General features: G+C 44.0%; 1 protein-coding gene and 1 long non-coding RNA gene across 22 annotated transcripts in view, besides 1 other annotated feature; both read right to left on the bottom strand.

The window, feature by feature from the left end:
• FAM163A (family with sequence similarity 163 member A) overlaps window positions 1-15904 on the bottom strand; it is an 88423-nt gene that overhangs the window by 70187 nt on the left and 2332 nt on the right. For 9 of the 21 annotated variants that reach the window (NR_138089.2, NM_001393421.1, NM_001393415.1 and 6 more), the window contains exon 1: window positions 2589-2721. The gene's annotated coding sequence lies outside the window, so the exon portion shown is untranslated. Of the gene's footprint in view, window positions 1-2445; window positions 2722-3499; window positions 3658-15594; window positions 15825-15904 lie in introns of those variants that run through there. The other 12 variants (NM_001393418.1, NM_001393416.1, NM_001393423.1 and 9 more) reach the window with 5 other exon arrangements.
• Window positions 732-1424: an enhancer, noted in NCBI's record as "H3K27ac-H3K4me1 hESC enhancer chr1:179713723-179714415 (GRCh37/hg19 assembly coordinates)". NCBI's record gives its function as "activates a minimal SCP1, AML or CMV promoter by ChIP-STARR-seq in primed H9 embryonic stem cells {active_cell/tissue: H9 hESC(primed)}" and the evidence as "EXISTENCE:reporter gene assay evidence [ECO:0000049][PMID:30033119]".
• On the bottom strand, window positions 3315-15824 carry LOC128071543 (uncharacterized). Its single transcript, NR_138090.2, has 2 exons — window positions 15595-15824; window positions 3315-3657 (listed from the first exon to the last, which is right to left on the bottom strand). It is a non-coding gene; the product is annotated as an uncharacterized LOC128071543 (long non-coding RNA).

Here is a 15904-nt window from a genome sequence, read left to right as displayed (position 1 = left end):
TGGCTGTTTACCAGGCCAGCACTTTCTGAAGTCTAGAGTCTAATGGGGTTATAAATATCTCTTGGATCTACAAGTAAGAGTCTTTATTCACGACAATTCTGGATTTCCAGCTACCACATGTGTGTCTGTTCTTAATTGGAAGAAAGTGGCCCCGAGGAAGGAGTAGTGACTTTGGAACCAAAGAGACCTGGGCTTCAAGCTCTGCTCTGCCATTAACTAGCTTTATGATCTTGGCAAATCGTTTACCCTACCCCCAAACTCAGTTTCATCACACGAAAAATGGGGAAATAATAGTAATTTTGCAAAACCTTGTGTCTGGCACATAGCAGGTACTTAATAAATGTTAGCAACTTTCATTAATGTTAATAATCACCAGGCCAGATTCTAAACCCCAGGGCACTTTTCACAATGGACAGACCCTGGAATGGCCCTACCAGAGTCAAATGACTTTTTTGTTAAGTGGCCACCCAGAAGATTCCCAACTTCTCCTCTCATCCACCTCAGCCTTGTAAAGTTTGCAGATCAGGAAAATCCCAGCGTGGGCCTCTGGGTGAGGACTGGACTGTGCTGGGGCCAGGCTCCCCTGTTACCAGCTGATGTTTGCACTCAGGCTGAAGCACTCCCTGAACTAAGCCGGGGTCATTTCCAGTTACAGACGGCAAGCTAGAGAAAAAACAGAGATTCTTGGGCCAAACAGGGGGACCTGCTCTCATCTGCACGAGCCCATCTCACCTTGCCTTTCCAGAACAGTATGCCTGATGAGGTCACTGAATGCAGATCTCTAGCCCTGGCAGGGCCGCTGCCGATCTGCCTGATGCCCCAGCAGGACCCTCCGAGAGCCACACATTACTTCCCCTCTGGACGCCAGCATGACCCTGTCTGTACCTGCTGGTTTAGATTCTCTTAGGCATGGGAACTGAAACCTCCCTAGAGAAGGCTAAGAAAATCTGTTTTCAGAGCATGTACCTTTACTGTTCCTTCCCCGGGGTCCACCTCTTTCAGGGTCTGAACGTCTGTTACATGCAAGTATTTCATTAGGGCAGAAGGAAAGCTGCCTTTCCCCTCAGGACACAGACTCCAGCGAATCTTAGGCAAAGCGAACATGCGGGATTGAAGCCCGCAGTTATTGTTTGTCTCCCACACGACATAAAACATGTGTCTGGCTCAGCTGCTAGAGGACCAAGCAGGACACAGACGCAACTGCGCAGACGTCGGTCCTGCCAGCCACGCTGCGGCCCCCTCGGAATCTCAGGATGGGGCCCCCTGGGCGCCCTGGGGGAGGGCCCAGGTGGGCGAAATGACAGGAGAAAGTGCCTGCGGGCCTCCGCCTGCAGGTTGGATGACTGCGTCCCCGTCACGTCAAACTTGCCAGGACTAGCAAACTTCCAGGGCCCCACAGTTCCACTCAGAGGAAAGGAACCCCCAGTGTGACAGGAAAACACGGCTGGTGTGTGTCGGCCAAAGGGCGCTGACCGAGGGAACAGATCTGCACCCCTGACTTCCCTCGCGGCCTTCGGAGCCGCAGAGAACCAGGATGCCACCCACCCAGGGCCCCGGCGCGCGGCTCTCGGCCTCTACCCGCCCCACCCAGGCCAGGCCGGGTGGCGGGGTCCCAGCAGCCCAATGCGGGCCTCGTCCCCACACTGCCTTCTGCTTGCCCGCTCTGCTCTCTGCTTGGCCAGGCCCCCCTCTGGGCCGCGGGGCGGAGGCTTCCGTGTGGCCGGCGCCTTGAGCGCGCAGGGCCCTCTGGAATCGGAGTGCGGTCGCCCGCTCTGGGGCCTCGGGAGCAAGGACACCGCGGCCCCACGGGCACGTCCGGCTTCTCCGTCCTACCCCCGCTGTCCTGGCCCCAGACTCGCTGGCCGAGACGCCGGCTCCCACAGGCCCTGCCGCCTGCATGCCCACGCCGCGCCGCGAAGGCACTTCGCCCTCTTTATTTTGTAAAACTTCGGAAAAATCACCAGCAAACCGAGCCCCGGTCTCAAGGCTGCCCACAGTTGCCGGCACGAATCCGGACTCACTGACCGACGGCGGCGCATTGGCCCAGCAGACCCCGCCGGTCGGCCCCCACCCTACCCGGGTCCCCTGCCCCGGCCTCATGCTCCCCGGGTGGCGGCGGGCGCGAGGCGCAGCAGCAGCAGCGGCGTCCGCGTGAGGTCCGGCCCGGCTGAAAGCGCAGAGAAGCGGGTCGCTGCAGACACGCTGAGTAGAGCGCCTTCGGCACGGCCCGGGGGCAGGGACCCGGCAAGTCCGGCCCCGAGGCGCGAGCACCGCCACCCGCGGTCTGGCCACGAGGCCGGAGATGCCCCCGAGTCGCCGCGCCCCTCGGAGCGAGAGGCCCCTGGCGCGGAGAGGGAGAGCCAGGGCGCAGACCCAGACCCAGTGGGGAACTGCTACGCTGAAGGCGGCGCGGTGGGCAGAGGGAGGCAGCCGGGGCGCGCTTACCCGGGTGTTGAGGCGCCCTCGAAAGTACGCGGTGGCCAGACACATCCCCGCGCGGAGCCCGAGCCCGGCGGCTCCTCAGCCCGCCCGCGCCCCGCCCCGCCCCTCCGCTCGCTCCCCTGCACGATGAGGCCCCGACCCGTTACCGCGGCTGAGCAGCTCCGCTCGGGCAGCGACTCCCGCGTTCGGCTCCCACGGGGTCGCAGCGCGTCCTTCCGGGCGCCAGCGGCTGGGGCGGCACACGTGAGGCTCCGCGGCCTCCCCGGCGCTCCGAGGACTGCCCTGCTCCGGGCGTGGAGCCTCATCGCCCCTCCAGGTGGCCAGGGCTGGGGGCAGGTACCGCGCGACCTGATTGGCGCTGGCCGGAGTCCGGGGAGAATCCCCCGCCAGAGAGGCTGATGCACGCGGGCCAAGTGAAGCCACGCAGTCAAACAGCGCAACGGGCGCCTTCCAAACACCCCTGCTTAGCTCCGCTGCCTTTTTGCCTAAGAAATGTAAACGCGGGAGGCGGGCGCCCTGGGAACGCCTCAGTACAGGGGACTTTGCGCCCTACAGATCGGGTCCAGGACGGAAAATTCGGAGAGCATGAGAATCTTAGGGACCAGGGTGTGTCGCTATCCACTGGAAAGAGACTGCCTCGAGAGCCTCCCGAAGGGCTCCTCTGTGTTCCTATTTCCGGCCCGCACTGTGCCCTGGAAATCCAGGGACACCTGGATGTCCCCGCCGCTGAGGGGTACCCGGGCCTCGTGGCAGGGCGGGATCAGATCAGTCAGGGTGTGATTAGAGCTGTGACGGTGAAGTCTGGCAGGAAGAGGCAGGAAGGGAGAGAAGCAATGCCTCGACACGAGGAGAAACCTGAATGGTGCGCTAGATTTCTTGTCTGAAATCACCTTCTTTTAATGTCTTAAAACTCTAGGAGTTGCTTATGTGCTGTAGCCCAGCCAATAAGTTCTGACATCAGTAATTCAGAGGGTCTGCTGAGAGAACATGACGGCCTGAGAGGGGATAAGCTGTCACTTCTCCGCACTTCCGAAGCATCTCTATATGGAACGTTTACCTGTTCCGGTCTGATCATCTTTCTCTTGATCCTGCTTTCCGATCTTGATTGGACTGAAGACAGCGAGGACAGAGGGGTGGGGTCAACCCGGTTAATGCTCGAGGAGGGAGCGTTCCCACTACATCAACAGTTTTCCTCTCTTCTTAGGCAGGTTAGTTCTGGGGATTCAAGGCAAAGGTGATCAGGGAATCCATTTGAAAAACAAAAACAGAAAACTCCAAAACATTTAAAAACTGTGGACCCTCAGCCTAGGTCCAACTTCTAAAGAAGGGGAGTAAGAAATTTAGCACCTGGAGCAACCTTATTATTCCTAATACACTGTTAAAAAACAAAAATCCCAAGGCAAGCCACCACCTCATCATTCCAGCAAGTCTACTGTTGTTGCAGCACACTCCACTTTTTACTCTAACTCTACTCACAGGTTTTACATTTTGAGCTCAGATTTTCATGTGCCGTCTTTTCTCAGCACAGTTAAGGCTCGTGCCTACATTCTTCCTCATCTCAAAGGCAAAACAATGAAATATGAAGAGGACGTGTGATTTTGTTATAAACTGTAACACAGAAAAGTGAAAACAACGTACCTTCATAGCCTAATGAATCATAAACCAAACACCACCCAGGTCATTGCTACCACCCCAGAGGTTCCCCTGCTCCACCAATTCCCTTCCACAAGTCCTTCCCTTCCCCCTAAAGCAACTATCCTGACTTTATGGTAATTACTTCCTTACGTATCTTTATAGTTTCTACCAATTTGTAATGTATCCCTAACCACTACAGTTTAGTTTTGCTTGGTTTTGAACTTTCTATAAATTGAATAATATTGCATGCATATTTTTGTGTGTGCCTGGCCTCTTCTTCCATTTGGTTGTAAGAGTCATCTACTTTTGTGGCATGTAGTTGTAGTTCATTCATTTTCATTGCTACTTAATATTCCCTTGTATGGACATATCACAATTTCTTTGTCCATTCTGGCACTTTAGATATTTGGGTTTTTCCCATTGGGGCTATTACAAGTGCTATTGCTAATGACATTTTTGTGTATATCTCCTGGTATGCAAGTGCAATCTTTAGGATGTATACCTTGGGGTGAAATTACTGGACTATAGGGTATGCATATATTTAGTTTTATTAGATCATGCCAAATTGTTTTCCAAAGTGGCCACAAAATTTAGACTCCCATCAGAGATGTACGGTAATTGCCATTGCTCCGCATCCTTGCCAAAATATAATATTATTAGACTTCTTATGTTTTGCCAGTCTGGCGGAGATGTAATGGTGTCTCACTGTGATCTTCGTTTCATATCCCTAATTACCAATGAAATTGGGCACTTCTACATATGTTTATAGGCTACTTGAGTTTTCTGTTTTCTGAGTGCCTGTTCAAATGTTTGCCCATTTTTTTGAGCTGACTTTTTCTTATTGATTCATAAAAGCTGTTTATAAAGTCTAGCTGCTACCATGCCTTGGTCAGTTAGAGACTGCAAGTATCTTCTACTCATTTAATGGTATCTTTTGATCAAGAGTCGCTTTTTAAATTAGAACTTTCATTTTGAGATAATTGTAGATTTGTAGGCAATTGTAAGAAATAATACAGAGAGATTGCAAGTACCCTTCACCCAGTTTCCCTCATTGGTAATATCTTGCAAAAACTATAGTAAAATATCATAATTAGGATATTGACATTGACACAGTCAAGATACACAACATTTCCACCACCGCAAGATCCCTCATATTGCCCTTTCGTAGCCACACCTGTTTCCCCTGTGCATCCTTCCCCATCTCTAATCTCTTGAAACCACTTACCTGTTTCCCATTTCCAAAATGTAAAATGGTACATTTTGTGATTTCAAGAATGTTATTTAAATGAAATCATTTGTATCCTTTCGTATCAATATATGTAACCTTTTGAATTTTTTCCCACGCAGCAACCTGAGTTGCAGGTTGTTGTATCAGTATTTTGTTCCTTTTTCTTGTAGTATTTCATGGTATGCATGTACCACCAGCTTGTTTAACCATTCACTTAATGAAGGACATTTAGGGTTTTTTCCCCAGTTTCAGGGGTATTACAAATTAAGTTGGCTGAGGTGGGAGGATTGCTTGAGCCCAGTAGTTCCAGACTGGCTAGGCAACATAGTGAGACCCTGTCTCTACATAAAAAAATGAAAAATTAGCTGGGTGTGGCTGCACACACCTGAAGTCCCAGCTACACAAGAGGCTAAAGGGGGAGGATCCCTTGAACCCAGGAGTTGGAGGCTGCAGTAAGCTAGGATTGAACCACCGCACTTCAGCTTGGGAGAACAGAGCAAGACGTCTCAACAACAACAACAACAACAACAACAAAAACCAAATAAAGTTGCCACAAACATTTGTTTACAGGTTTACAAGTGAGCATACATTTTCATATCTCTGGGATAAATGCCCAGGAGAACTATTTCTAGTTTGTAAGGTAAATGCCCAGGGCAACTATTGCTAGATCGTATGGTAGTCACATGCTTAGTTGTTAAAGAGACTGCCAGCCTGTTTTCTAGAGCAATTGTACCATTTTACATCCCAACAAGGAACATATGAATGATCCAGCTTCTCCACAACCTTGGCAGGATTTGGTGTTGTCAATATTTTAAAACTTTCACCCATTCTTATACATGTATAATGATGTGTCATTGTGATTTTAAATTCCATTCCTCTAATGACTACTGATGTCAGACGTCTTCAGGGGCTCGTGCTTACTTGCCATCCTTATTTCCACCTATATGCAATCTTTGGTGAAATCTCTGTTTACGTCTTTTGGTCATTTGCTAATTGGATTGTTTTGTCTTTTTGACTGTTGAATTTTCAGAGTTCTCTATATAGTCTAGATAAGGGGTGTCCAGTCTTTTGGCTTCTCTGGGCCACATTGGAAGAAGAAGAATTGCCTTGGGCCACATATAAAATATAAAATAAAAAACACTAACAACAGCTGATGAGCTAAAAAAAAAATCACAAAACAATTCTCATAATGTTTTAAGAAAGTTTAAAAATTTGTGTTGGGCCGCATTCAAAACCATCCTGGGAGGCTTGTGGCCAGTGGGCCATGAGTTGGACAACCTTGGTCTAGATCCTGGTCCTTTTTCAGATCTGTGGCTTGCAAGTATTTTCCCCCAGTCTTTTCATCCTCTTTACATGCACTTTGTAGAGAAATTTTTAAATTTTGATAAGGTCTAATTTTACTATTTTTTCTATTATGGAGCATGTTGTTGGTGTCAAGACTAAGAACTTTCTGGCTAGCCCTAAACCCCAAAGGTTTTCTCCAATTTTTTTTTTTTCTGTTTCATGTTCTGTTGGTAATCCATCATAAGTTAATTTTTGTATAAGATGTGAGGGCTAGGTTGAGCAGCTCCTTCTCCTTCTCCTTCTTCTCCTTCTTCTTCTTGCCTAATAAGGTCCAGTTGCTCTGGCATCATTTGTTAACCATTTAATTGCTTTTGCACCTTTGTCAAGAATCAGCTGGGCATAGTTGTGTGGGTTTATTTTTGGATTCTCTATTCCATTCCATTGATCTATGTGTCTATCCCTCCACCAATACCATACAGTCTTGATTACTGAAGCTATATAATAAATCTTGAAACTGGGTAGTCTGATTCTGCCCACTTTATTCCTTCTATTCAAAATTGTTTTAGCTCTTCTAGTTCCTTTGCCTTTCTGTTTAAATATTAGAATAATCTCCTCTATATCTATTAATACAAAAATTCTCATTGATATTTTGATATAAATTAGGGAGAAAGCATTCAGTCTTTCATGATTAATTATAGATTAGCTATAGGTATCTAATTTGCCTTCTATTTGTATTTTTCTGAGAATTTTGTCATAAATGGGTGTTGAATTTTGTCAAATGCTTTTACATTAGTTTGTATAGCCATGTGATTTTTTCTTTTTTTAGCCTTTTAATATGGTGGATTGCATTGATTTTTGAAAGTTGAACCAGCTTTGCATTCCTGGAATAAAGCCTACTTGGTCAAAGTGTATAAATCTTTTCACATATTGCTAAATTCTTGGTTTTTAGATTTTTTAAACACAGCTTTATTGAGGTATAATTGATACAAAAAACTACATATTTTTGTGATATTTTTGCTTTTATTATTATTTTAAATTGACATGTAATAATTGTACATATTCATGGAGTACAATGTGATACTTTGATACAAGTATATAATGTGCAATGATCAAATCAGGGTAATTAGCAAATACATCACCTCACACATTTATCATTTCTTTGTGTTGGGAACATTCAAAATCCACTCTTCTAGCTATTTGAAAATATACAATTAATTCTCACCCTAAAGTGCTACAGAGCACTAGAATTTATGCCTTCTACTTAGCTGTACTTTTGTATCTGTTAACCAGCCTTTGGTCATCCCCTCTCCCTATTCCCCTTCCCTTCCTCTCCACTTCTATGATACCAACTTTTATAGATTCCACATGTGCCAAGAACATGCAGATTTATCACTCTGTGCCTGGCTTATTTAACTTAACCTAATGTCCTCCAAGCTCATCCATGTAAACTGCACCTATTTAACGTATTCAATCTAATGAGTTTGGACATACTGCGAAACCATCACTACAAATCAAGGTGATACACATAGGCATCACCTCTAAAAGTTTCCTTGCATCTCTTCGCTTTTTAAGGATTTTTTTTTTTTTTGAGACAGAGTCTCACTGTGTTGCCCAGGCTGGAGTGTAGTGGTGCGATCTCCACTCTCTGCAAGCTCTGCCTCCCAGGTTCATGCCATTCTCCTGCCTCAGCCTCCCGAGTAGCTGGGACTACAGGCGCCTGCCACCACGCCCAGCTAATTTTTTGTATTTTTAGTAGAGACGGAGTTTCACCGTGTTAGCCACGATGGTCTTGATCTCCTGACCTTGTGATCTGCCCGCCTCGGCCTCCCAAAGTGCTGGGATTACAGGTGTGAGCCACCGCGCCCAGCTGCTTTTTGGTCTTTTTTGATGGGGCGTTCGTTGTTGTAAGAACACTTAACATGAGATCTACCCTCTGAACAAACTTCTAAGTGCACAGTCCAGCATTGTTAACTATAGGCATTATGTTGTATGGCAGATCTCTGGAATTTATTCATCTTGTATAACTGAAACTGTATAGCCATTGAACAACAACTCTTCATTTCCTCCTTTCTCCCAGCTACTTGGAAACCACTATTTATTTTCTGCTTCTGTGAGTTACTATTTTAGATACCTTATGTAAGTGGAATTATGCAATATTTTTCCTCTTCTAACAGGCTTATTTTCACTTAGCATCATCTCCTTCAGGTTCATCCATGTTGTCACAAATAGCAGGATTTCCTTCTTTTATAAGGGTGATAATATTTCCTTGTATTTATATACAATACATTTTTCTCCTTACATGTCAGTGGACATTTGGGTTGTTTTGATACCTTGGCTATTGTGATAATGCTGCAATGAACATGGGAGTGCAGGTATCTCTTTGAGATACTGATTTTTTAGATATATATCAGAAGTGGGATTACTGGATCATATGGTTTTCAATTTTAAATTTTTTGAGGAAAAAATTTAAAATTTGAGGAAATGTCATATTATTTACCGCAGCAGCTGTACCATTTTACATTCCAACCAACAGTGTACAAAGGTTCCAATTTCTCCACAGCAATGCCAATACTTGTTACCTTTTGACTTTTTTTTTCTTTTTTCTTTTTTTTTGAGACTGAGTCTTGCTTTGTCACCCAGGCTAGAGTGCAGTGGTGCAATCTCTGCTCACTGCAACCTCTGCCTCCTGGGTTCAAGTGATTCTTCTGCCTCAGCCTCCCAAGTAGCTGGGATTACAGGCTGCCACCGCGCCTGGCTAATTTTTTTTTTGTATTTTTAGTAGAGATGGGGTTTCACCATCTTGGCCAAGTTGGTCTCGAACTCCTGACTTCGTGATCCACCCGCCTTGGCCTTCCAAAGTGCTGGGATTACAGGAGTAAGCCACCATGCCTGGCCCACCTTTTGACTTTTTGAGAACAGCACCACCCTAACAGGTTTGAGATGATATCTCAATATAGTTCTGATTTGCATTTCTCCCATGATTAGTGTGTTGAACACTTTTTTATATACCATTTGGCCATTTGTATGCCTTCTTTGGAGAAATGTTTATTCAGGTTCTTTGTCCATTTTTAGTTGGGTTATTTTTTTTTTTTGTCACTGAGTTGTATTAATTTCTTGTATAGTTCAGATATTAACCCTTATCAAATATATGGTTTGTAAATATTTTCTCTTTCCAAGGTTACCTTTTCATGCCACTGATTGTTTTCTTCGCTGTGTAGAAGCTTTTTCGTTTAATGTAGTCCTACTTGTCTGTTCTTGCTTTTGTGACCTTTGCTTTTGGTGTCACATCCAAGAAATCATTGCCAAAACCAGTATCAGGAAGATTTTTCCCTACGTTTTCTTCTAGGAGTTTTATAGTTTCAGGTCTTACACTTCAGCCTTTAATTCATTTTGAGTTAACATTTTGTGTATGGTGTAAGATAATGGGTTCAATTTCATTATTTTACATGTGGCTATCCACTTTTCCCAGCCCCATTTATTGAAGAGACTCTCCTTTTCCCATTGTATAGACTTGGTACTTTCGCTAAAGATCAGTTGACAGCGAGTCACCAAATCCAGCCCATGCAAGTGCGAGTGCTGCTCCACTTCCCATCCACCCTGTCTTAGAATGTAGCTCTTTCGGCTGGGGGCGGTGGCTCACGCCTGTTATCCCAGCACTTTGGGAGGCCGAGGTGGGCTGATCACGAGGTCAGGAGATGGAGATCATCCTGGCTAACACGGTGAAACCCCGTCTCTACTATAAATACAAAAAATTAGCCGGGCTTGGTGGCGGGCGCCTGTAGTCCCAGCTACTCAGGAGGCTGAGACAGGAGAATGGCGTGAACCCGGGAGGCAGAGCTTGCGGTGAGTGGAGATCACACCACTGCACTCCAGCCTGGGCGACACAACGAGACTCCGTCTCAAAAAAAAAAAAAAAAAAAAAAAAAAGAATGTAACTCCTTTACGGTTCCAACTCAAAGCAGAAGGTGGTTTAGCAACATCCATACCTTTGGTGAGCCATGAACTCCAACTTTTGACCTCTAACCAGGATTGCCAAATAATCCCAGTGACACTGAATACAAGGCTCATTTCTTCTGATTTCTGCCTTTTCTTGGGGCTTAAAACTAGTAACTTCTTATTAACGTATTAGCTCTTTGATGCTTTTAAGAAGATTTTAAACATATTTTATCCAATCTTTTTAGTTATCTTTAGCTTGCCCTTCAGGAGTATGGGTCTGAATTATTTAATCTACCTTTTTCAGAAACAAAATCAGTTGCTTGTCTGTTATTGTTATTGTTTAATCTGGGGGGACTTATTTTGAGTGAAAACTGCCTTTTTACTAAAGATTTACAGAGCTACATCAAGGAAAAACGTAATTACCCACCCCTTTGTCAGGTGCATTCTAGCTCAGTAAGTTCTAATATAAACTTTTTTTGTTTTAACTTTTAATATAAACTCAAAGGACCATTCAGACAGAGGCCACATCACATAACAGGAATGGCCTAAAACTCAAATGTCAACCTAGTCTCCCTGGCCAATTGAAACAGCTCTTCCTCTCTTACCTAATGAGGCCAGTCCTTTCTTCCAATGTATTTTATGTTGGCAGTATAATTGGTGGGGGTGGGATTCTTTTTACTTGAAGACAGGTTCATCTGGTGGAAGCTTCCTGAAATACTGCAATGGACTGAATGTTTATGTTTATGTACCCCCTACCTAAATTCTATGTTGAAATTCTAACCCCCAAGGTGATGGTATTTGGAGGTGGGGCCTTTGGCAGGTGATTAGGTGAATGGGATTAGCACCCTTAAAATAGAGACCCCCGAGGAGCTCATTAGTCCCATCCAGCACGTGAGGACACAGCAAGAAGGAATCATCCATGAATCAGGAAGTGGGCCTCCACCAGAAACGGAGCCTGCTGCTACCTTGATTTAGGACTTCCCAGCTTATGGAACGGTGAGAAATAAATTTCTATGTTTTTATTGATTGGTATTATTATGGCAGCCTGAACAGACTAAGACAGATATAAAAAAAAGGAGTATTCGTTTAATTTCTTCCATTTGGCCAAGTCTGCCATCTGGCATTCAAGTTTTTCTTTTTAAAGATGTCAAGTACTGTTTAGTCAATGATTAAGATGACAGCTTTCTCTAGTCAGGAGCCAGATTATTAAGCCTGGCTCAGTGGTGTTCTCCTATATAGGTCTACAGTCTCTTATTTACAACTTGAATTTCAAAAATTTCTGACAGTCAAAGTTTAAAAAAGATCTGTTGAGTGCAACATTTGAGCTGAGTTGATCTGATTTTGTGGCCAATTTGAAACTAAAGTGAGGCTATCTAAGCCTTTATTCACCTCACTTGGTGTCAATATTTATTCATTTTGCTGCAAAAACATTGATGCGTTTGCTGCTCCAGACACTATTGGGGTGTGTTGTGCTAATAAACAGGAACACACCAATTTACCTTTCTAAAATTAGGGGTAAATTGATTTTCAAAAAATCGTTCTCCATGAGGCAAGAGGAAAACTGTTATTCCTGGGATAGGAGGAACAAGGAGGAAGATAAGACGACAGTGGATACAGGGATATGGGGAGAAGACTTTGAGCATCATCATGTCACCCCTTCCTGTGACCTTCTCCCAAGCCTTCAGCAAAGTTTCTCTACTAACAGCATGCATTCTGGTGAGTGAATTTGTGGATGTGTGGGACCAGGTGGAGGGAGTTGTCTTTGTGCCTGTTTTGAAGTGGGTCAGAAGAGAGGTAGCACGTGTGGATACAGGAGCACAGAGACAGAAATTTGAGTGCTGAGTTCTGAGAACTCCCATAAATTATGGGGGATGAGGGGAGCGTCACTGTCTCACAAGGCCTTGGAATTAGGATTCTGTTAAGGTATCATCAATTATATAAGGAACAGAGCATGCTACCTCTGTGAGGGTCTTAATTTTATCTTGTATTTATTTAGCTTTACATGTTTTTCATAATTTCCTCCCTTTCCTGGTCTCCCTAATACAAGTGAAGCATCTATCCTCTCTTGAGACAAGATTTTGTGTTTTATAGTCATTTCTTGGGAACCAGGAATTATTTAATTTGCATTTCAAATAATCATACTGCAAAAACAGATAATATGGTCAATAGGCAAATGATTAAAATGATTAACAGCTTGAACCTTATAATCAGACAAACTGGGTTTGGATCCTTTCTCAGGGAAGTTAATCTTTCTAAGCCTTAGTACCTCAGTTGCAAAAAGGGAAATAAATACTCCCTATGTATTAAGGTTGTACATGTGGGGGATGCTAGGCACCATGCCCTAAGCATAGTGAGAATGCAATACATGATAGCTTTAAAAAATATTGAGAGTTGTCCTGGTCCCTGCCGCCTCGGTATGTGCTTCATATTCACATTACCAGCCAAGAATCCCTTTTTACTTTCACTCTGTAGGTGGCCTTTCTGAGCAGGTCTCTGTCCACATCCTCTCTTATGGCTCCTGTCACCTGCCCTCATCTCCAGAACCGCTGATGCATGAGACTAACAATCATGTAAACAATCTTTTTTTTTTTTTTTTTTTTTTTTTTGAGGCAGAGTCTCACTCTGTTGCCCAGGCTGGAGTGTAGTGGTGCGATCTCAGCTCACTGCAACCTCCACCTCCCGGGTTCAAGCGATTCTCCTGCCTCAGCCTCCTGTGCAGCTGGGACTACAAGCACGCACCACCACGCCTGGCTAATTTTTGTATTTTTAGTAGAGACAGGGTTTCGCCATGTTGCCCAGGTTGGTCTCCGCCCCTGAGCTCAAGTGATTCACCTGCCTCATCCTCCTAAAGTGCTGGAATTGCAGGTGTGAGCCACCGCATCCTGCCTAAACAATCATTTATAACCAGCACAGCTGCTCTCAAGATCCAATGTGGTCAGTCTCTTATCTTGGGAGGGTATGAATATTACTCATTAAAAAACAATGTGCTGGCTGGGCATGGTGTACTTTGTCATGACTGAGTTAAAGTAATTGGTACAGCAAACTGAGGGTCAAAAAACATGTGTGGTTCTGTGGGGACATAGTAACAGTGCCCACACTGAAAAAAGCTTTGCCCAGCACCAAAGAGCTTTAGCGCATCTACGTTTCCATATAAAACAAAGTTCACATCCAATTTCTGTTTTGGCATGGGTCACCAGAAGATATTTAAGGATGAATCTGTTCTTGAACAAAAAGTCACAAAACAGCTATGGGGTAATGTAGTAAATGAGAAAGGAGCAATTTCTTATTCAGATTTGAAACCTCTGTAAGTGATTCCTGCAATTGCTGTAAAACCTTAAGTCGAAGAAGAATGATTTAACAAAATAGAATTTGTTGGCCTTTGGTCTGTTTTTAGCTACCGGAAATAGGCAAGCTTCCATATTTAACTTTCTCAGCACAATACCATATTCGACAATTAATTCACATGGTTGCGACCTTCTGTGGGTTTATGAGACCTGGGATTATTAGCCCATTTTACACATGGGGATAGAGTATATAGCTGGCTGACTCAAGATTATGCAAAAATATCTGAATAGACCTAGAACTTGGTTGTTGGCACTGTGGTCTCACTTTGCTTTCAAGGATGTAATATTTGCCCTCTACAATGATGTAATATTTGCCTTTTACAATGATGTAATATTTGCCTTTTGCAAATATGACTTTAATGTATTTATAAACAGGTAAATGGGCACGAGGGAGAAAAATGGTATTCTAGTAATAAACAGGCTACATGAAGACACAAGGGAGTTATGAGGGGTTGTTCCAAACCCTGCAGTTTGGCAATGCTTAGTCTTGCTGGGACGGCCTCAGTCCCGAGCATTATTTATTTAGCTCAAGGTGGGCATCACAAGTCAACATTTTCTTCCTATACTGGAAGTTATCGTTAAAAATCTATCACATAAATTTACTTGTTGATTCATATTTCATGCCTTATGGAGCAAACTGCTCTATTTCCTGTGGAAATTTCATTCCGGTTGCTTTCAGTACTGTTATGATCGCTATCTAGAGAAGAACGCTAAATCCTTGTACTGAATTCAGTATTGCTCTCTGAGGCTCTCACATCAGAAATGGTTTGTTCGCTGTCATCTGGCCATTTACAGCTACTTCACTTCTTCCTCTGCTACTCCACATCCAAACTCACATTTGTAGCTTTTCATGGTATATTACCTCATAAATCTATATACCTTCTCTCTTCCCAGGTCATCCTGTCTCAATTTGTTTTAACCCTCCAATATGAAATATATTTGTCCCCTGACTGTATACTCAATACTAGAAAAATCTTTGCTTAAACCTAACGAAGAAAGCACAATTAACCTTTTCAAAAAATGTATCAGGTTTGTATCACCAAAAACTAATTGTAGGTGCTGATATATAACTTTCTCTTTTGCAAATTCATTTTAATTCCAAATTAAATACAAATTATTAAATAAAAAATAAATAAAAATTCCAAAGTAAGTACCTGGCTCAGCAGAGAAACCTCTGTGTAAACCTTGGGCTTTCCTAAAAGAAAAAGCGTTTACTCTAACAATTAGCTGTGGGCACCAGATAGAATTGGCACTCATATTCTTTCCTGTTGTTTTCCCTACCAACACTGATTTTGAGCTTTGTATGCCATCTATTTATTGTTGTTGCTCATGTAGTTTTCAAGATTTGCTGAATGCAAATTAGTGCCTTTTTTCACAAAAAGAACCTTAAGAAAAAAGCTATTTTGTACATAAAAGAGTGCTTTTTTGCATATAAAAAGTTTTAAGAAAAGAGCTTTAAGAGCTCACAAAAAATATATAGATTCTGGTTTTAGATCCAGCACAATAACTTGCATAGCTGAGCAGTTAGTATTTTCTACCGATGACAACAAAGGCGTTAATTTCAGCTACAGAGACATAAACACCTCCTTCTGAGTCTTCCCATGGACTAGTTTCTACTTTATATCAAATGCAGAGAAAGGGGGTGTCACTTAGGGGGCCTTTACTTTCCAAGAAACTTACTGCCAGTCCTCTAAGGCAAGAGTCTAAGTGTTGCTTCTGACTCACCAAAGCTACAAAAGAGGCCAGATGTGAAGGCTGTAACATCTGTCACCCCATGATCACCAGGATTGGTCTGAGTAACTTTGCTTCCTTGGGTGGGGATCGGGGGTTCTCCTCCTTCTGCACCGTCCTACGTTCCCAGAAAGAGGAAATCATTTCTTAGCCTTCATCTTCTGCTGTTTTAAATCACTGTATGGATGCCAGCACGTGGCATTCGGATGGCTTCCCCTAATGGCACTCAGTGCTTGCAAGTGGGAGGATAAATGCCCCTGTGTGATGTGTAAGGTGACTGTGACATCAGGATAGTGAATTAGGA

The sequence above is a fragment of the Homo sapiens genome, chromosome 1 (assembly GCF_000001405.40).
Source record: "Homo sapiens chromosome 1, GRCh38.p14 Primary Assembly".
NCBI classification, from domain to species: domain Eukaryota; kingdom Metazoa; phylum Chordata; class Mammalia; order Primates; family Hominidae; genus Homo; species Homo sapiens.
The sequence above is the reverse complement of the archived record's forward strand: the minus strand, read 5'-3'. Positions and strand labels throughout refer to the sequence as shown.